General features: G+C 48.1%; 1 annotated feature.

Annotated features, from left to right (window-relative positions):
- Positions 960-1,777: an enhancer, noted in NCBI's record as "H3K4me1 hESC enhancer chr9:67756597-67757414 (GRCh37/hg19 assembly coordinates)". NCBI's record gives its function as "activates a minimal SCP1, AML or CMV promoter by ChIP-STARR-seq in primed H9 embryonic stem cells {active_cell/tissue: H9 hESC(primed)}" and the evidence as "EXISTENCE:reporter gene assay evidence [ECO:0000049][PMID:30033119]".

A 21,637-nucleotide genomic window follows, 5' to 3' on the forward strand; every position in this document is an offset into this window, starting at 1 on the left:
AGGTAGTCTGTATTTATGGGAGAGGGAGGCATAAAAGAAGATGCTTCAGCTGCTTTCTAAACATGTTTGTCGTGGAACATTGAAAACATATGAAAACAGAGCAGTATAGTGTCCTCATCATGCAACTGCAACAATGGTCACACCAGGATCTTGGCGTGTCTATACTCCCACCCACGTTCCATACCCCACTGCACCATTACTTGGGGTGGAACTGGGTTGGTTTTGAAAGAGGAACAGCAATTCCCCAAGTAGAAAGTGCTGGAGGGAAAAGTTTGCAGGCAGAGGGGATGCTGTGCTCAGAAGCTTGAGCAGTGCCTGATGCTGGTACATCAAACCGAAGCTGAAGGAGTGGGACAAGATGCTTTGGCCCCCGTGCATTCTGGCCCTAATGCATCTGTCACACAGCATGCCCTGTGGCTCCTTTTGGAACTCGGGTCTCCAGGCAAGTCTTCGGAAGAGCCAGGTTAGCGCAGAGCCAGCCCTTTGAGTGCAGGGAGTGAGGAGGCACCGCTAAGACGGCGGGCCTTGGCTGGGCGTCCGCGGGGCTTTGGTGGGCCTAGAGCGCTAGGGACTGGCACGCACCAGCACTGAGGGGCAAAGCGGGCGCAGTCAGGCCCTCCACCCCGCGTCGGCACGCGGTCTTAAATATTACCCCGGAGTTTTCAATTATCTCTCCTTAATGGATTTGCAGGGGCTCTTTCATCAAGCGCGGGGTGGCTGGGTGTGGGGGTGCGGGGAGCGCGCGGCGAGGGCTGGAGCTGGGAAAATGGCCCATATTTCAATATTAAAGCCCTTTACGATCGTCAGCAGCATGAAAGATGCTGCAAATTAAACGGAGCCGCCCGCGCCAGCCTCTCCATCTCGCAAGTTTTAATTAACGCTGAGGGGGAGGCGGCTGACGGGCGGGTCGGAGCCGGGCCAGCGGCGGATCTGGGAGCCTGCGGATCCCAGATTCCGAACTGGAGCGTCAGGGATCTCGCGGGCCAGGCCAGGCGGAGGCGGAGGGTGGTGGGCTCCGAGTCCCGGGCGAGGGCGCGGAAGATGCCCGTGGAGATGGGCAAGGCTGAGGGGTGGGGGACAGGTTGGAAGGTCTCTGAGCATCTGACCGGGAAACAAAACTCTGCAACTGAATGCAGGAAGCTTTGTTCTTAAAGGTGAGGGGGCTTGTGGCCAAATCATCGAGCTCTTCATCCCCAGGCTCCTTCAGCGCGCGTCCTTCTGCCTCTCTTCTTTCGACCAGCACTTCCCCCAAACGCTCCCCCGCGTTGATTCCCGGTCCCCTCCCACCTCATCCTGTGGCTCCTTGTTTCGGGACGCAGTTGTGCTTCTGTGACCCCGCGGCTCCTGTTCTGGGACGTCTGCTTTCTCCATCACTCCCTGGCTTCCCGGGCGGGCCCCATCCTCCTGAGCGGAGCGGAGCAGCGCGCACAGAAGCGCCACTGTTCTGCCTTGGCAGGGCCTGGCCCGACAGCTTGTGCCTGCGCAGCAGACCCATCCGTCAGGCGGGAAGGATGGAGCGACGTCCGGCTGCCCGCTCTGAGGACTCCCCAGGGAGACACATCTGGCCTTGGCCCAGACTCCTCTCTTCCCTTCTCCCAACCCGCCAACCCTTCCCCCAAATACCAGCTCAGTATATACTTCTGTCTCTCCTCCTTTCCTTGCTTCTCCTCCTCCCTCCCATACACATGCAGCCTGGGGCCTGGGGCCCAGGAGAGCTACTCCTCTCATGGGTCACACTGAGAAGTCCTTCCTCCACCTGCATCCACATGGCAGGGCATAACTCTAAAGCTTAAAAAGATCCAGCGATCTCAGTGGACCACAATCCAAAGCTAAGTCAGCCAATCAACACTCAAGGGCTTAAATCAAGGACTTTGGGCAAACCCTATAGAGTGGAGGAATTAGAAAAATAATACAAATAAAAGACATGGTCATTATTCCTGGGTATTTACAGATACTTCTTTGTGCTTCCTGAAATGTTTTGCAGAAATCACATTCTCCTCTCATTGTGCTACACAGCTTGTAAGCACCAAGACAAGAAATTCTATGATAAAGCAAAAAGAAAAGAAAAGAAAAAAATCCTCTTCTACTTTCTTCTTGGTGTGTATTTTTTCTTGTCAATTTCTGATAATCTATCAAGCCTACTTAAAATAGTGCCTGCTTATGCAGTATGGTTAGGATGATGAACACACTTAAACAGGATAGGGAATAAGTACAAACTACAAGTGCTGTGGGGATGCAGAGTAATAGGACAAGTGGTGAAAATTAAAACATTTTTGGCTTAATCAAGGAGTACTTCCTGGAAGAGGGGAGACCTGATTTGGAAGGAGAGGTGATATAAACTTGAAAAGAAAGTTCCAGATGTGGAAACACTGGTTTTATTCTTTATTTTTATTTTGAGACAGGATCGTACTCTGTCATCCAAGTTGGAGTGCAGTGGCACGATCTTGGCTCACTGCAACCTCCACTTCCCGGGATCAAATGATCCTCTGCCTCAGCCTCCTGAGTAGCTGGGACTACAGGTGTGTGCCACCACACCCAGCTAATTTTTTTGCTTTTTTTGTAGAGATGGGGTTTTGCCATATTGCTCCAGCTGGTCTTGAACTCCTGGACTCAGGCGATTCCCCTGCTGCCTTGGCCTTCTAAAATGCTGGGATTATAGGCATGAGCCACCACACCTGGCTAACACCGGTTCTAAAATTAGGCAGAATCTATATTTTACTTCAGGTTGAGGAGCAGATAATCTTGGCTATATTTTCCCTGACAATACAGTAAGATGAAAGAAACCTTGTGCAATAGCAGGAAGAATTCAGGGTAGACAGTGGGATCTTGGCTAATGCTGGAGACTAAAGTGAATGGAGAGAGACCCTGAAGCACCCTTCTCCCATACTTGGCTATGGGCTATGGGAGGGATGCCTGGACTCTGAGACTTGGCCACCATGTTGTGTTTTGCCATAGAAGATTTGGACATGAAGTTGAATAAGGCAGGAACGACCTCACAGCATCAACCACAACCCCCAATGTGGCTGGAGAAGGAGGGAGAGAGGGCAAAGAATATCTTCCTCTTACTCAGATTGTAAGTGGAGAAACTGAAGTCCATTCACTCAAATCCATAAGTGTCTACTGAGCACCTCCTATGTGGCAAGCACTATATAGGCCCTAAGGATCCAGAGATGATCAGGGCATGGTCCCTGTCAACATGGTGCTCACAGTCTAGTGGGAAATAGAGTTCACTCGTCATTCTATCATTCAATCAAAAACAAAAAGTATTGAGCACTTACTCTGAGCCAGGCAGAGTTGCAGGTGCTGGAGATGCAACTGTGAACAAGACAGACCCAATCCCTGCCCCATCAGAGAGTACTACCTGGTGCAGAAGACACATACATAAACAGGCAGCTATAATTCAGGGTGATGTATGCTATGAAGGGGAAAGGACAGTTGCCATGGGGTGGCATATCCATAGATATGCCATAGATCCATAGGTTCCCATGAGGGGATCTATCCGAGTCTGTGAAAGGGGATGTGAGGATGATGTGGAAGAAGCAACACCAAATCTGATCTGCTCACAAGGTGCGCAGAAGTCAAGTGTGGGATGGCATGGGGAGGGTGTCCTGGGCCGAGAGTTTGTGTTCCTTTTCAGCATCTTACTAGGAGCTTGTGGCCAAATCAGGCCCAGGCAGAGCTTCTTCCCTCTAGTCACAGGATAGCACTGGCCTGCACCAACACAGTTCTTCCAACACCAGCAGGGGAAACCAGATGATAATCCTAACAGAGCCAGACCAAGGAATGAGGTTATCAGTTTTCCTTTTTCTGCTGGGAAGTTTCTGCCTTGGGGCTAGGCTATGTAGGGGGAGGCTGGGAGGTGGGAGGGCACTGTGGAGGATCTTACTCTTTCCACCCTCCTCTCACTGATCCTAGTTTTGAACAAGAAACAGGTGATCTGTTTCTCTAGTTGCAGCTGAATAGAAACCAGGACAAGAAAGTGTTGTCCTCCCCAGACACGTTTCTGTCTCCTGGGTCCTAACCAGCTGCCTACTTGAGCCATCTGACTTCAATCCACAGGGCCTCCCAGGAGCTGAATCCAGAAGGGCAAGAACAAAGTAGCAAAGCAGGAAAGGGCATTCAGAAGAGAACAGCATGGGCAAAGGTCCCAAGGCCAGAGGACTTGGAAACTGCAAGTCCCTCAGTGTAGAGATGAGTCTGTAGAGGAGGTTGACACAAGCTTGTGAAAGACCCAGTATGCCAGGCTAAGGGGGTGGGAACAGTGAGGGACACTGAGGGTTTTATGGCTTAAATTTTGACAAGTGTATCTACATATAGACAACTAATGTAACACTCCTTTTTTTTTTTTTTTTTTTTTTTTTTAGAGATGGAGTCTCACTCTGTCGCCCAGGCTAGAGTGCAGTGGTGAGATCTTGGCTCACTGCAACCTGCGCTTCCTGGGTTCAAGTGATTCTCCTGCCTTAGCCTCCTGAGTGGCTGGGACTACAGACTGATCCCACCACATCTGGCTAATGTTTTGTATTTTTGGTGGAGACAGGGCTTCGCCATGTTGGCCAGGCCGGTCTCGAACTCCTGAGCTCAAGTGATCCACCTGCCTCAGCCTCCCAAAGTGCTGGGATTACAGGCAACACTTTTTTTAATTTTCTTTTTTGAGACAGAGTCTTGCTTTATCATCCAGGTTAGAGTGAAGTGGCTCAGTCATAGCTCACTGCAGCCTTGACCTCCCGTACTCAAGCAATCCTTCCTCCTCAGCCTCCTGAGTTGCTTTCAATTTTTTTTTTTTTTTTTTTTTGAAGAGACAGGGTCTCACTATGCGGCCTAGGCTAGTCTCAAACTTCAAGAGACCAAGGTGGGAGGATGGCTGGGCTCAAGAGATCCTCCTGCCTTGGCTTCTCAAAGTGCTGGGATTGTAGGCATGAGTCACTGCCTGTCCATATAAAGTAACACTCTTGAACTCACTATCCAGACTTGAGGTTTTGTTAAGTTACTGTTAAAATTTTGTCAATTTTGCTCTTGAGTTTTCAAAATAAACAGGTCATTACAGATAAAGTTGAAGTTCCCTTTGTCCCTTCCCCAGTACCGTTCCCCTCCCTTTCAGAAGCACCACCATCATATATTTTTTCTATTTTTATCATAGATATATATCCATGGATAACATTATAAGGCTTCAGTGCATTTTAAAAAGAGGTCCAATGGTTATGATATAATTTATAACTTTAGTTTTCCATCGCACATTTTTAAAAAAGTCTTTATTTGGCCGGGCGCGGTGGCTCACGCCTGTAATCCCAGCACTTTGGGAGGCCGAGGCGGGTGGATCATGAGGTCAGGAGATCGAGACCATCCTGGCTAACAAGGTGAAACCCCGTCTCTACTAAAAATACAAAAAATTAGCCGGGCGCGGTGGCGGGCGCCTGTAGTCCCAGCTACTGGGGAGGCTGAGGCAGGAGAATGGCGTGAACCCGGGAAGCGGAGCTTGCAGTGAGCCGAGATTGCGCCACTGCAGTCCGCAGTCCGGCCTGGGCGACAGAGCGAGACTCCGTCTCAAAAAAAAAAAAAAAAAAGTCTTTATTTGAGGTTTTCGGCAAAGTGCTGACAAGGGTAAAACTAGTGTTAGAAGATCATGCTGGTTACCAAGTGGAGTATTCCAGGTGACAGAGGAGGACCAAGGATGGTGACAGTGGGAAGGAGGAGACAGAGGTAAAAGGAGACTCCACACCACAGGTCACTGGTGATCGCCCTGTGAGGGCAGGGTTGTTTTATACATGCTGTTCTTCAGCACCATGAACAGGGCCTGGCTGTTGGAGATGCCCAGTAAATATCTGTTGACAGAGAAAGGTTGACAGGGGCAGATGGATCCAGGATGACTCCCAAATTCCTAACCCAGTGCAAAAGCCTGGATGATGATCCCAGTCTCCATTATGAGGGCCCCAGGAGGAGAAGCTGGATTGCAGGGAAAGATGAATCCAGAAGCCATCTCTCTGATCTAGAGGAAACGAGGCTGTGCTGTGTGGAAGGGATTAATGTTAGGAAGCAGACCAGACTTCCGTTCTTAGGACAGAAAAAAATCTTGTAGCGGATAGTTCAAGGCTATAAAAGATCTGAAGGGACCCAGAGATGGTAAGAGTGGAAAGGTTCAGTCCTGCTGGGGGCAAAGGGATAGTTGAAAAACAAGCCAAAAACAATAATCACTTTCCTCAGAAGGCCAGGAGGGCAGGGCCCAGCTTCTCCATCAGCCACAGTGAGTGTCTTATAGCCCTCTGTGTGGTGGGTACCCACAGCCCATTAGCCAAGGCAGAGGAGGAGGAGGAAGGTATAGTAAGTGCATCTAGGATCATAAAGACCTTGTCAGATGCCCACACTCAACTTTGCTCCCACTCCATATTCATCAACAAGATGGAAAAGTGGGGTGCTCACAACTGCTTCTTAGGACTTATTCTTGACCAAATTCAATTTCTCTGTTCAGGGAAGGATGTGAAATATAACCTGCTTTCCAACTCTTAAGACCCAGAGCTCTGGCTCTTCACCTCAAAAAGCTACCTTCTGCAAGAGCTCCCTCAAAGTCACTGCCACCCCCACTTCCTCACCCCACCACCCCTGCCCCAGGCACAGCCACCACCCACCCTCTGCTGCTAATTCACCTATAAATGGTCTCCTGCCTTGCGTCTCCACTCAGTTTTGTTCTTTCTCTAACAGGTTCCACTCCCCTGAAAGCCCACCCGATCCTTCCTGTTACCCTAGCACTAACTTCCTAAATGAAGTGCGGTGGCTTACAGTTCTGTCCTTCTCTGTTTTTGTCACTCTTTCCACTCACAATTCTTTGGGTCCTGGCTATGGTTAAGTGGCATTTCTCTACTTCATCCCTGGGTGCAGGGACAGAAATGCTTTTACCATCCCCAGTGCCCCTCTCTGGGGGTAGCAGAGAAGTCACTTTAGTTTTGTTTGGTCTGGTGGAGTAAGGCATGCCCTTCTTTCAGAGAGGGAGCTGTCATGGATCTAAGCCAGTCCCTGTCCTAGGAGTACTTGCAATTTAGACTTGCTCTTTAGTCAAGGAATTTTAAATATTGTAAAGCAATGCCGTAGCTGGAGGGGGAGAATCTTGGAATCCCCTTTCCATGAGTCTGCTATTTGAAGGTGTGGTGGGATCCCTTGGAAGTGTGGGCCCCTTGTACTCTGGATCTAATCCTTAGAGTCACCAAAGGGCCAACATAATGATTCTCAAACCAATCTGTGATCGGTCCCCTCATACCTTGAACTTGGGCAGGCTGCTAATTTTTATCAGAGCAATACACCCTGTAGATACCACCTCCCTGAACTCTAAACTGAGCAGAGCTCTAAACCATCAAAGAATCAGGCTATATAGACTTCCACCTTAAATGGGTGTAGATTCAACATGATTCCGAAAGTCACGTGACTTGCCTCGCTAACCAGGGTTCTTCCTCAGTGGGGAAACTACTTGGGCCATTTTTCCTTCTCCTTTTCACCTACCTGAATTATTACATTTATTTATAATTAACATATATTGCATGTAATATTAAAAAAAATAAAACTTAGAAAGACTTGGTGGTGGGTGCTGCTGAATTAGGTATCAGAGCCCCAGTTAGGTGGGTGTCCTGTGGAGTTTCTGATGAATCAAAAGCCGTTTTTGGGCACTTTAAAAACATGGACGCCTTGAGCCCTGGGCAGCCCCAAGGCTGTGACTACCGAGGGCACCCACAGAGGATTAGAACTGGGGCACTGGAATGAGAGGACCATCAGAAGCAAGGCCCGGATGCTCAAATTCCCACCACAGTCATAAAACTTAAGAGCATCTAAGTCGCAAGCAGCTTTTAGTTTCTTTCTTAAGAATCCAACTAATCTTGTGTTCCACCTTGTAGCCTTCTATAAAGTGTGACCATTCACTTGGTTGATGATTAATGATTCAGCTAGTAATTATTAAACAGAAAGGAACCAGAAATAAGAATCACGAATTTACACAAAACATTTCATGTTCTTAATGCTAAACTTGAAGGTAAAACACTAGGAAGGTAGAAAACACAATGTTGCTATTTGTTTTGTTCTTCTAAAGAATGAAGAAGTCAGATTTCCTGGTCCTTGTGTAGGCTCTCTTCCTGACAGGGTTTCTCAAACTTTTCTGCCAAAGTCCCTTTGTTATTAGAGGCAGGAGGGTAAACTTGGACCCCAGCAGTCTGGGGGATTGCCCTGAAGGGCCATTAGCAAGGACCAATTATTTCTTTTTTTTTTTTTTTTAAAAAAAGACATGTTTAATTAAATAATAGGTTACTTCATCTTCATTATTTGCATTATATAAAAATAGGATTTTTTATTAATAAGAAAATAGCAGATTCTTTTGTGGCCTTAAGTTTTAGCTCTAAAATGATGCAAACTTTGCATTTTATAACGTAGTATATTTTATACAACTTAATATAAAAATGATGTTTTAAACCATCTGCCATCAAAAAACCTCTGTGGCCCTCAGAGAGGCTTCTTATATATCCGGGGACACCCTCAGCGAGCAGCTACTGCAGTGTGGCCTGGGGAACTTGCACCCAGGTGAGAGGTGCTATGGGGTGTGGTGGTTTGTTAAACTAGCTGCCACTGTCCCAGGTTGTATCTTTAATGACTACCATTTAGTGAGCACTACTATGTGCCAGACTCTACGCCAAATGCTTTTATATGCTTATGCCATTTAAATTCTCACAACCACCTGCCTAAGGCCACACAGCTGTAAGGTGGCAGAGTGGGGATTCAAACACCTGTCTGCTTGGTTTCAAAGCCAACTGTGACCCCCTGCTGACTCTTAGAGGCCAAGGCTGAAGCCCCTGGCTGAGTGAGTGGTGGTGACCTGGGGAAAGGACTGTTGTGGTGCATCTGGAAAGAGTGTCGGGGGTGTTCCGAAGGTAGTGCCTTATCTCAATTGATTGTTCACAGTCAGTTACAGATCAAACTCCTTGTTCTGCTCCTTCCCCCTTCTCACTACTGCACTTGACCAGTCTTTAAAAAAAAATACATACGGTGCAGGTCTAATACGAGAAGGGTCAGAAAAGCTAGGCTTAGGTCTAGCTCTGCCTTTGACTAGCTATAGGTTCTTTAGGGAGGCCCTCAGCCCTGTCTATAAATGGGACTATAAAGGTCTGTGAAAGGGGCAATGGAAAAAAGATGAATGTTGAGCCACATCTCAGGCTCCTTTCTTGCTCCACTGCTTATCAGCTGTGTCATCTTAGGCACATCACTACGACTCTAAGCCTGTTTCCTCACTTCTAAAATGTGAAGAACAATACCCACCTCACAGGGCTGCTCTGGGGATGAAAAATAATACACATGAAACACCTGGAACAGAGTTTACATATAGTAGTTGCACAATAAATGCTTCCCAATAGTAGTTATCCTTGTAATAGTGGTATTAGCGATACTACTAAAGTATTATTATATAAAGTAGTATTAGCAATGCTACTAAAGTATTCATATTTTAAAACTGTGATTATTAAAGTGAGAAAAATGTATGAAAGGAATACTACAAATTAAGGTAATCCACTAAAAATAAGGAGCTGGAGGCTAGGCATGGTGGCCCACACCTGTAATCCCAGCACTTTGGGAGGCCAAGGTGGGTGGATTACCTGAGGTCAGGAGTTCAAGACCAGCCTGACCAACATGGAGCAACCCCATCTCTACTAAAAACACAAAAAAATTAGCCAGGTGTGGTGGCGGGCGCCTATAGTCCCAGCTACTCGGCAGGCTGAGGCAGGAGAATGGCATGAACCTGGGAGGCAGAGCTTGCAGTGAGTGGAGATTTTGTCACTGCACTCCAGCCTGGGCGACAGAGCGAGGCTCCATCTAAAAAAAAAAAAAAAAAAAAAAAAAGAGGAGCTGGAGGAGGCCCACCTTCTTAATGTACGCCAAAATAGTTCTGCTGGTTGAAGGCCTGGAGTTCCCTGCAATGGGTGGGGAAGGGGATTAGCCTGGGGAAATAATGCCTGGGTCAAGTTAGGGAAGATCCAGGTCCCTCTGCTGAGGGACAGTTTGGAGGACAGAGCCTGACCCTCCATGAAGAGAGACTCTCAAGGTCTCTTTTAGCTTTAACATTGGCTAAGTGTGATTCTATGACTCAACCAGTCTGCCCTAATTCCTCAGTGTGGGCAGGACATGAAAGACAACCCACCAGTATCTCAGTGAGTTTGTGTGGAGCCCACCTTGGCAGTCACACACAGACACTTCCCAGAGTCTCAGTGATGACGATTCTCTCTAAGGGGAACCCAAGCCTTAACCAAAGACCACCTCTCCATCTTCCTGCTGGGGTCTTGCAGGTCAGCCTAGAGGGAGTTTTCCAGAGCAGGTGGCTTCCTGAGTGGCCAAGATCATGTGAGCAGGATAAGTTCTCTTCTCGCTGGGCCTTTCCTCCCTAAGCTGGTGTCCCAGGCACCTCTCTCTGTTTGGAAATCAGATTCTTTATGGTTTATTTTTGACACCAGATAATCGCTGCCCAAGTTTCATCAATTTGTCACTGTTTTTATTGTCAGCAATTGCCCATAACTGGAGCACGTTTAAAATGTCATTGATCTTGGTATTACAGTGTCATAATCTGACAGTAATATGTGTAGCCAGCACAGGAAGCCCAGGCTCTGAGATTGATGGCGCACAGCACACCAATTATATTCTGTCCATCTAAGTGATAAAAGAGTACGTAGGAGGCATTCAATAGATAAATTAGATATCACTCCCAATTATGTCCTTTATTTTATGGAGTCATATGCTCCCCTTAGAACTTTTTTTCTTCATTTGGCTTGTAAAGGGGAATTACTTGACCCCCCTAAAGACTGGGACTGCCTCCCCTGCCTGTCCCAACTTGGGTTCTACCCTGATCCCTTCCGACAGGCTCATAGTCTTTCACCTGGGCTTTCTCTGGGACTCACCTAGGAGTTCCCCAGTGTGGTAGGTCCACAGGTGTAAAGGGAGGGAGGCAGAGGTGCTTCACCATTTGGGAAGGAGTTGGGTCAGGCCTTTGGGAAGGACTAGGAAGTCTGACAATGCCTTTAATGTGACACTGCCCAAATAAATGAGACCGGGAGAGGGGCTGGAAAATGGGTAAAAATCCTCCAGTCCAGACAACAGAGCCTTCAAATTAGGACAACTAGTAATTGGCTATGGCTGGGGAGGAAGAGGATGGTAAAAAGGTTTTCAGTCCTTAAGAAGTGAATTCATCCATCCCTCTACCTCCACTCCAGACTGGGTGGGGCCAATTCAAGCCCTTCCTCGGAAGAACTCCCAGAATCTTCTACATCCCCATTCTGATCCATATCAGATGACTTCCTCAGCTCAAGTCCTAGCTCTGCCACTGTGGTAGGGACATAATACCAGCTTTCCTGGGGGAGGCAGAGGGCTCCTGTTTGAGAAAAAGCCCGAAGAATGGTTCATTTCCAAGAAGAGAGCTCACCTGAGGCAGGGAAGTGCCTGGCCAAGGAATAGAGGTACAGTGAAGGCATAACTTTATTGGAGGCCTGGCTTATAAGCATCATAAACTCTGAGGACAGCCTTGACCTGGTCCAGACCCCTGTTTCCCCATCCCCCAAAGCCAGCAGGAAACATGGCAGAGGCCGAGACACCAAGTAGTAAACAGTGATCTAGGTCCATTGATCGAGCTTTCAAAGAGAAAGTGTCCATGGGTTGGGCTGCTCTCCATTGCCCTGTTGCCATCTCAATGTTATAAATAATTCTGGCACTAAGTGCCCTGTCACACCGAGTGGAAGTAGTTCTTATAGAGTGAAACCTGAGAATATGGGTCATGGGAGGAGGGGTGACTGGGGGCAGGGGTAGAGATGGGGAGTGATCACCCCAAGGCTCCTCAACTATACCCCTAGGCTGGTGATAGATGAATTTCTGGAGCAGAGGATGGCATTTCAAATGAAATGGTTATAGGAAATGAGTGTGATTTAAACAACGTCTTGGCTGATAAGCACCAGCCAGCTGGGGGGAGATGGCAGGCTAGAAGTGGAGGAATCAAAAGCCCAGAGGCCCCCAGTGTTAAGTAGCTGTCTGAAGCTCCGCTCAAACACACACACCAGCTTTGGTCTCAACATGTTTTTAAGAGCTGGTTATGATTTCCTTGAGGGCGGCTCAGATTAAGACTAGAGTGGAGCCCCCAGCTAAGCACCTTCAATAACTGTCGATCACATCCTCTTTAGAAACAGCAGCCTCTTCCCCTTGGCTCAGGGACCCTGTAATTGGGGAGGGCTGTGAAGCTGCATGGCTTGTCAGCCTGTTCCCAGGCAGCACGGGGCCTGTCTGTCCTTTGCCTGGGGTCCTGCCCTGGATCCCAGGAACAGAGATTGAGCCCCACCCACAGAGAGCTCTCAGTCTTCAAGAAGAGAGAAAACATACAACCTAGAAAAGAAGAGAGGAAGCAAAGAGAGCAAAAGGATGGAAGCCAAGGAAGAGGAAACTGTCACCAAATCCAGAATTTGGGCCTTTCTCACCACACGCACTGCTGCCATCCTGGTCCAAACCACACATTTCTCACTTGGATTAGTGCAATGACCTTTCAACAAGTCTCCCTGCATCTTCCCTTGGCCCCCTGTGATCTATTCTCAACACAAAAGACAAAAAGACTATTTAAAAACTGAAGTCCAGGCCAGGTGCAGTGGCTCATGACTGTAATCCCAGCACTTTGGGAGGCCAAGGTGGGTGGATCACGAGGTCGGGAGTTCAAGACCAGCCTGGCCAAGATGGTGAAACCCCATCTCTACTAAAACTACAAAAATTAGCTGGGCATGGTGGCAGGTGCCTGTAATCCCAGCTACTTGGGAGGCTGAGGCATAAGAATCACTTGAACCTGGGTGGCAGAAGTTGTAGTGAGTCAAGATTGTGCCACTGCACTCTAGCTTGGGTGACAGAGTGAGACTGTCTCTCAAAACAAAACAAGACCCTGAAGTCCAATCATGTCTTTCCTCTCTACTTCACTCAGAATAAAAAGCAAAGTCCTTAAGTTGACTTACGAGGCCGAACATCATCTGTTCCCTCCTTACCTCTCTGATGCCATCTCCTCCCACTCTTGCTCACTCCCACAGACTTGCCAGGCATGTTCCTGCCTCAGGGCCTTAGCACCAGCCACTCCCTCTACTTGGAATACTCTTGCCAAGATGTCTATGGGGCTAACTTCCTCTCTCACCTCTAAGTCTTTGTTCAAATACCATATTCGCAGTGAGCTCTCCTTGACAACCATACTAAAAACCTCAGATTTCCCCTCCATGCTGATCCTTCTGTACGTGATCTATTCCTTTTCTGTAACAATTATCATTTTCTAATATATGATATAATTTACTTATTTAGTAAGAATATTGTTCATTATCTGTCTTTCTCTGCTAGAATGTAAACTCCACACAGGTGGGGGGTCTTTCTCTGTTTTGATCACCAATGTATTCTAAGAACTTGGAATAGTACTCAATAATAATTGCTTAGTGAGTAAATACAAAGGATGAGGTTCACCAGGGGAGGGTTTGGAGAAGAGAACAGAGGGGAGGCCATCCCAGGCTTGGGATGAACTTGTGCCTTATCTCACAACAGGCCATGTGTGAGGATCTGAGAGTCCGAGTGTTGGGCACAAGTTCAAGAGTCGGGCTAGGGCATCACCCAAAATGGAGAGATTCAGTTATCAAAGAGACTAGGCTGGATTTACCTCTGGAATCTGGTGGAGGACTTGGCTTTAGGTTGGGATTTTACCATCATCATGACCAAAGAATACTTGGGGATAATAATGCCAAAGGGATGTGCAGGGCAAGAATGAGGTGGTTGGGAATGGAGGCAGACCGGGAATTCAGGTGGGGGGGGGGGTAGCTGAAAGAACAGGCATGTGTCTTCTAAGTCTGGAAAAAAGATTGAGGTGGAATTAGAGGGCCTGAAGGAAAATTGTGTACGCAAGTGGGAGGAAGAGCCTGGGTCCCTGGAAGCTATCATCTCCAAGAGCATGTTCCATCTCCACTGAGGGCAGAATCAAAAGCCATGGGCCACACCTAAAGTCGAAGGAACTAGAGTGAGACATCAAGAAAGGCCTCCCAACAATGTGACAGGTGGTGGAGGGGAAGCACTGGGCCTTTTTCTCTGGAAAACTTGAGCAGGACCTAACTGGGTGCATACCTGAGCCAGGCTAACCCAGAGGGCACTGTGAGGCTCTGGGGTGGGAGTGTGGTACTAGAGCCCTGGAGAGGGTTCCTGCCTCTGCCTGGCTCCCAACTCCATCCTCTCACCTGCGAGGCTTCTGAGCTTCTAAGCACGCAGAAATGTCCTCTCTCCTGACCTCAAGTTTCTCCATCTTTTCAGAGTGGAAAGTGAGAGTATTTAGTATTCCAAGGCCCCACCAGTCCAGGGGCCAAAACATGTTTACCACATCTCCTCAGAATATCAGTGCTCAACTCGGTTTTGTGGTGGCCTCAGGGTACAAGCCAGGAGAAGCAGAAAATACCTTTGGAGGTTATACAATTCAGTGGTTACTGCAGTACTAACGGAGTGAGGACATGGGTGGCCTGGGAGTTCTGAGGTTCCGGGGAGACTTACTTGTCACTGTATAACTTTTGGTGCCTTTTGAGTTTTGAACCATGTACGTGTATTTCTTATTCAAAAAACATAAAACAATTAAAATCAGATGAAAGCAACAACAATAATAACAACAAAGAATAGGTCTAGGGAAGTGGGAACTTGATGCCTCCAATTGCTACCCTGAAGGCAATGACCTGCCTCCTCTTGCCCATGTGTACCCTCCTCCACGTCTGGCATCTCCATTCTCTAGAGGCTCAGAGAGGGGTGTGGAAGGCCTGATGTCACCCAGCATTTAAGACTAGCAAAATTCTGGGGCTTAGCTGTCCAGACTCTCAGTGTTGTCTTTCTTTTCTGATCCTCAATGACCCCGTCTACTCATTGACCTCTCCATGTTTTTGGCAGAACTTTGCATATGCTCAAATCAACCTTCAATGGGTCGTTTTTAAAACTGTGTGGTCTTAAATGCCACCTTTCCCAGGAAGTAATCTCTTTTCACAAAGAGAAAGATGACAGCTCTCCTCTCCCCCCGTGTGGTGTCTGATGGTTCATTCCCTCCCTTCCTGCCTCCCTCCTCCCTACCACCCTCTACCACTAAAGTGGCTCTCCACTGAAACTTGGCCCTGTCTCTGATGAGATATGTGACCTTGAGCAAGTCATTTAACCTTTCTGTGTGTCTGTTTCTTCATCTGTAATTGAGGATCCTGACCTTCCTCCCATGGCTCTTCACTTATGCATTTGTACAGCAAGCATGTATTCTGTGCCTGGTGCTGAACCTGGCACTGAGGATCACACAAGAAAATGTATGTGAAGTTAATACAGAGACAGAAAGTTACTGCCAAGGCCTCCTTCCTTGGATGCTGTTCTGGGCTGGGTGCTCCAACCCCCTCATCTGGCATGCCCTTGGAGGAACTGCTTCACAGTCTACTCCAAACCTCTCAACTTCTAGCATTGCTCCTGGGCTGAAGCCGATATCCTGCTCTGCATGAAGGGTCAGGGGGTGCAGAAATAGCCTATTTCCCAGGCTTTTTCATTTGGTTAGATCCTTAGGTACCACTTTGCCTACAAGAAGGAATAATGCTGAAATCTGTCTGTTGGTCTTTAGTCTGGAATTTTCAATGTCCACCTCTCTTGCCCTCTGTGGGCCTTTCCCTGGGACTTGGGCTGGAACAAGGGGTAGGAAATGGATTCTATCCATGTCCTCACTCTGCTCATTTCTCTCCTTTCCTGAATCCCATGCATCCATGGAGATTGGTACAGTGGCTAAGATTCTGGGATTGGAAACTCACATTTGTCTCCCTCCAAATGTAAGCTGGGCTGTGGAGGAAAGATGGTCCCTTCTTTAAAATGAACACCACCATCTCAGAGTATACAGGAGCTTGCTTCAGGCAGAGGAGGCAGAGCTGCCTTCCAGAGCTCTTGGCAGGAAGCTGTCCCCACTCCCTGCCTGACCACCGAGGATTGGGTGAGCATCACTGGGAGGGAGCGGTGTTTATAGAAAAAACGTGCTGCTTCAGCCCTGGTCATTGCTGATGGACCATGGCAGCAAGGAAGGTCAAGTCCAGACTAAGGAGGTACTTCTCATTATCAGGGACTGGGTTTAAGGTGAGAGGTTGGTTGGAACTACTCAGACATGGTCTTCCCAGAGCAAGGAGGAAGGATGAGATGATCTGGGAGTTGTGAAGGACTCAGGGGTTCCATGATGTTGCAGAGCTGGCAGTGACTGGGAGGATGCCAGGGAGATGTCAGTTCACCCATGTCTAGAGCAGAAACCCCATGGTCAGAGACCAGGTATCTGGAACCCCAACATTCCCAGCATAATGCCTCGCACAAGGCTAACTGGAGACTGAGGAAGACAAGTCCTTCCCTGGAAGATGGTGCCAACACTGTGCTCACAGAAGGACAGCTACTTTAAAGCCCCAGCAGGAAAATGATCCCACACTGTGGGACCTGGAAGTACTTCTTCATGTCCAGCCTCAATCCTCCTTACCACAGCTCAATTGGATCTCAGTCCAACCTGTGGGATTTGTCCATGCCCAGAGGTGAAACCCAGCAAGGAATATGGACTTTGCTTTTAGGCCTACGCTGTTGGCTGTGGGAGATAGAACAAGTTGGCCAAACTGTCGAGTACCTGTCTCCACACCTGGGGAGTCCCCAGGAAAGTGGAGAGGGAAGATCTTCCAGGGAACGGCCACCCTCCATGAGGAGATAAGCAGAACAGCAGAGGGCAAGGAAGGTTCAGTGGCCAGGAGAGGTGGGGCTCAGGGAGTCCCTCCTGGCTGGGGGTGAGGGAGCTTCCTGGATGCTCAGCCTCTCCAAGCCCCTGAGGAAAGACTGTAGCTTCTGGAGGGCAGGAGCTGATCCTGCATCATCTCGGCAGACCAGTGCCCAGCACACAGCAGATGCTCAAAACACATGGGTTGAATGAATGAGCCTGCGGTCAAGAGCCTGCCCAGCCAGCAGGTGGAGTGGGTCTTTGGAGAAGGGATTCCCCTCTCTGGGCCTCCATTTCTTCATTTGTAGAATGAGGGGCTGCAGTAGATTGTCTCTAAGGTTTTGTCAGCCCCTGACGATCTGTGGTTTCCTGTTTCCCTGCTCTCTCGTCAATTCCTTGCCTATTCTTTTTCCCTCTACAGCTTCTCTTTTCCTTTCCCTTTAAGTCTTTTTCTTCCACTAACCCCCAATCTCTGCACCCCCATTTTCAGTCTCTCCCCTCCCCAGACAATTTCTCTGGCTTTCCCCTTTACAGGTATTTCTTCCTCTCTGCTTCTGATAACTGCCCCCATCACTACCCTTCCCTGATGCCTTCAGTGTTCTGCACCCCCTGCCCCCCAAAAGCCGCCCATTCCAGTGCCCCTTTCATCCACCTTAGATGCCAGAGGCGGGAGATTGGAAGAAAAGGAGGAGGGTCCTAAAGCAGCCACTCCCCTGCCCTGCAATGGCCCCACCGCGATGTCCCCGTCCCCCCGCCCCGCCCCCCTCCCCGCCACGCCTCTCCCTCAGCAGCCAGTGCCGCACTGAGCCCTCGCCCCACGCTAATGCTAATGCGATCTGGAGAGACCCGGTCGGTGCGGGCGGCGGGCAGTCTGGCCCAGCGTCCAGGGCGGCGCTGATGGATGGTCCCCTGACAGTAATCGCAGAATGAGGACGCGCAGGTGACGCTCTTGCCCGAGGCCCTGCTGTTTGGCTAGCCCAGGAGTCTCTCCCTCCGCAGCGTCTGCCTTCTGGGCGCTCTCAACTCACTCGGCTTTGCGGGAGGCTCAAAGCCTCAGGTTAGGGCAGAGGTGCGGGCTTCCTCTGCTCTCTCTCTCCCAAGACACTGGTTTCTGTTTGGGAACAGATCCCTTCTTGGATCCACGCTGCTTCTGTGATTCTGAACAAGCCACCCATCTCCTGGAGTCTCAGTTCTCCCTTCTGTATAATGGCCTTTAAAGCCTGGTGGAGTGTTGGGGGCACGGGAGATAATACTGAGGAAAATCACGCTCTCTCTTAAGTAGAAACCGAATTTCACTTTTAGTTTACAATGCTCAGAATAATCTGGGCCAAATGTGCGAAGCCAAGTAAGAGCTGAGTGGCTACTCACACACAGAATATATGTTTATACACATACACATAATGTTTTTAGCATACCAGGACTGCTTAGACGTCTTTAAAGAGAACACTAGCCCAGGTACTTCTCCAGGGAGGCGACTGTCTCCAGCAGGACTGTTTCTCCCCTCTACTGAGGCCACCTACCTGTCTTAAGCCCCCAGACCCCATCCGTTCTGGGGTTCCCCTGCAATCCAGAGCCAGGCTGAGGTGGTATGCGGGAAGATCTCCCTTTGGAAAATGTTTCTGGATAATTTCCCAACTCCTTGACCACGTTCTCCCCACCTCACCCACATTCAGATAACACAGGTTCTAAGGCTCCTTCACTCCTCCACCCCTGGGGGATACTCCTTGGGCCTGGCCCTGTGGAGGGGCTGGGAGGTGGGATCCAGAACCAATTGCAATTCTGAACGCACACCCAGCCGCCTCCTCACTCCCTTTTAACCTTTCCCTCTAGTCAGAAGCCAAATTGAGATAGTCTTGAGTTTTGATTTAATTCCTGAAATGGAGTCATAATCTGCTTAGTGTCCTTTCTCCCGAGTCCTAGATACTGAAGTGTGTGTGTCTGTCAGGGGGAGTTAAAAGAGCAGCTCTGTGACCTTTGGAGGACCGTCACACTCACTCACCTCCCAAACACCACCAAAGAGCAGGAGACGCCATGGCACTGAGTTGCTGGGTAGTATGATGATGGTACTGACAACTCACATTTACTAGGCACTTACCACATGCCAGTACTGAGACAGGCACTATACACGCATTTCTCACTTAATTCTCACAACTACCTTTCAGGTAGGTACCATTCATATCCCCAACTTACAGATGAAGAAACTGAGGCTTAGCGAGGTTAAGCAGTTTATGTTCCATCCTGCAGTGATCACAGACGGTCCTCGACTTATGATGCTTTGACTTACAATTTCTCAGCTTTATGATGATGCCGAAGTGATATGCATTCATTAGATACTGTACTTCTAATACTCATACAACAGCTCTGTTTTTCACTTTCAGTACAGTACATTATAACATGTTGAATCTCATGTTGAATACATGAGATGAATAAATATCTCATGTTGAATACATGAGCTATTCAACACTTTATTATAAAATAGGCTTTGTGCTAGATGATCTTGCCCAACTGTAGGCTGATGAATGTGTCCTGAGCACTTTAAGGTAAGCGAGGCTGAACTATGATGTTTGGTGGGTTAGGTGTATGAAATGCATATCCACCTTACAATATTTTCAGCTTGCTACAGCTTTATCGGGACACAGCCTCATCGTAAGTCAAGGAGAGTCTATTATTAAGCGGCAGAGCCCAAATTTGAAACTACACAGTCAGACTGCAGAGCCTGTGCTCTTAACCACTTAGTTGTGTGACACCTGGCAGGGTATTTAACTTCTGCATGCCCTGTTCCCTCATTTGCAAAACACAGATAAGTAGGGATGATAAGACATTCCCTTCAAAGAATTATGTTGATTAACTGAGCTAAGGCATTCACCATACTCACAGTAAGCATTCAGTAGTTTAGGTGCCCTACACATTGGAGCAGGGTTGAGAAAGGGAAAGAGTACAATCCAATGGGCTATTAATTATTCATTGTTACTGTTGATAATAATAGTTATCATGCATTGAGAGCCAACTGAGCATAGGCCACCCTACAAGGTAAAAATTATGTCTGTTTTACAGATGAAGAAACTGAGTTTCACATAAATTACGTAAATTGCCTAAAGCTATCCAGTTAATAAGTGACAGAACAGAGCTCTTGTTTAAACACTGGGCCCTTGACTCCAAAGCCTGCAGTTCCCAGCACCCCCAGGGTCACCAAAACCTGGCCTCTCCTGGGGGAGGTCAGGGCTGAGGCCAACAAGCCCAAGTCACACCCTTTACCACCTGGGACCTGATTTTCTCCAGGTGAGCAATGTTTTCTTAAAAGAACAGGAGGACAGTAAATAATTAACCAAGACAGTTTCTCCCTCCCTGAAGCCAAGGTAGAACCTCCCCACTACAGCCAACCGCCACTCTCCTCACTGCTGTTTCCTCTGTGCTCAAGTTTGTGGCCATTAAATAGAAGAGGAGAAAGTTTGAGCCAGGCATGAAATATTTATCAGTTAATTACAATATGCAGATTCTGTTCCTAGGGGTGATTTATCTTTTTGGAAATATAGGAAAAGATCCTGGAAACTTGTATCCTAATCGCTTGGCCTATTATTGTAGCAACCAGGTAGAAACTGCATTTACTATGTAACTACAAATTTTCCAACTACTAGAGGTATCTGCCTCTGCTTCTATCACTGGTGATCTGGGGACCATATGCTTTTCTGATAAGAGATGAGCCTCTTAGAGGTCAATTTGTCAATTCCTCTGTCTCCTCTGGGGGTGGCCCCTTTGTAAATTCTAATAGCTATAGGAAATGAAAAGGGTGAGAGTCTCTGAAATTCTGGGATCTCAAGAGAAGCTAATTCTAAGTGAAAACCTCCCGGACTGAAGCAGTGCCTGTGGTGAGGGGATGTCCAAGGTTGAGAAGCAGCTCTCAGCTGAGTATCCCTCCCCTCTCTTGCTCTGGCAGAAGTGTCAGCCTTCCCCTTATCTCTTGTATCATTTCCTAGGGCCTGCATCTCAACCTCTGGCTACACATTAGCAACCTGGGGAGTTTTAAAAATCCAGATGCCATGGTGTATATGTGCCACATTTTCTTAATCCAGTCTATCATTGTTGGACATTTGGGTTGGTTCCAAGTCTTTGCTATTGTGAATAATGCCGCAATAAACATTCGTGTGCATGTGTCTTTATAGCAGCATGATTTATAGTCATTTGGGTATATACCCAGTAATGGGATGGCTGGGTCAAATGGTATTTCTAGTTCTAGATCCCTCATATACACCATGGAATACTATGCAGCCATAAAAAATGATGAGTTCGTGTCCTTTGTAGGGACATGGATGAAATTGGAAATCATCATTCTCAGTAAACTATCGCAAGAACAAAAAACCAAACACTGCATATTCTCACTCATAGGTGGGAACTGAACAATGAGATCACATGGACACAGGAAGGGGAATATCACACTCTGGGGACTGTGGTGGGGTGGGGGGAGGGGGGAGGGATAGCATTGGGAGATATACCTAATGCTAGATGACGAGTTAGTGGGTGCAGCGCACCAGCATGGCACATGTATACATATGCCCAGGCCCTACTACAGGCCAACCAAATTGGAATCTCTGGAGGTGGGACCCAGGCATCAGTATTTTAAAAAACTTGTGGCTGGGCATGGTGGCTCACACCTGTAATCCCAGCACGTTGGGAGGCCGAGGTGGGCGGATTACCTGAGGTGAGGAGTTTGACACAAGCCTGGCAAACATGGTGAAACCCCGTCTCTATTAAAAATACAAAAATTAGCTGGGCATGGTGGCAAGCACCTGTAATCCCAGCTACTCGGGAGGCTGAGGCAGGGATAATTGCTTGAACCCAGGAGGCAGAGGTTGTAGTGAGCCGAGATGTGCCACCGCACTCTATCCTGGGTGACAAGAGCAAGAC

Source organism: Homo sapiens, chromosome 9 (assembly GCF_000001405.40).
Source record: "Homo sapiens chromosome 9, GRCh38.p14 Primary Assembly".
NCBI lineage: Eukaryota > Metazoa > Chordata > Mammalia > Primates > Hominidae > Homo > Homo sapiens.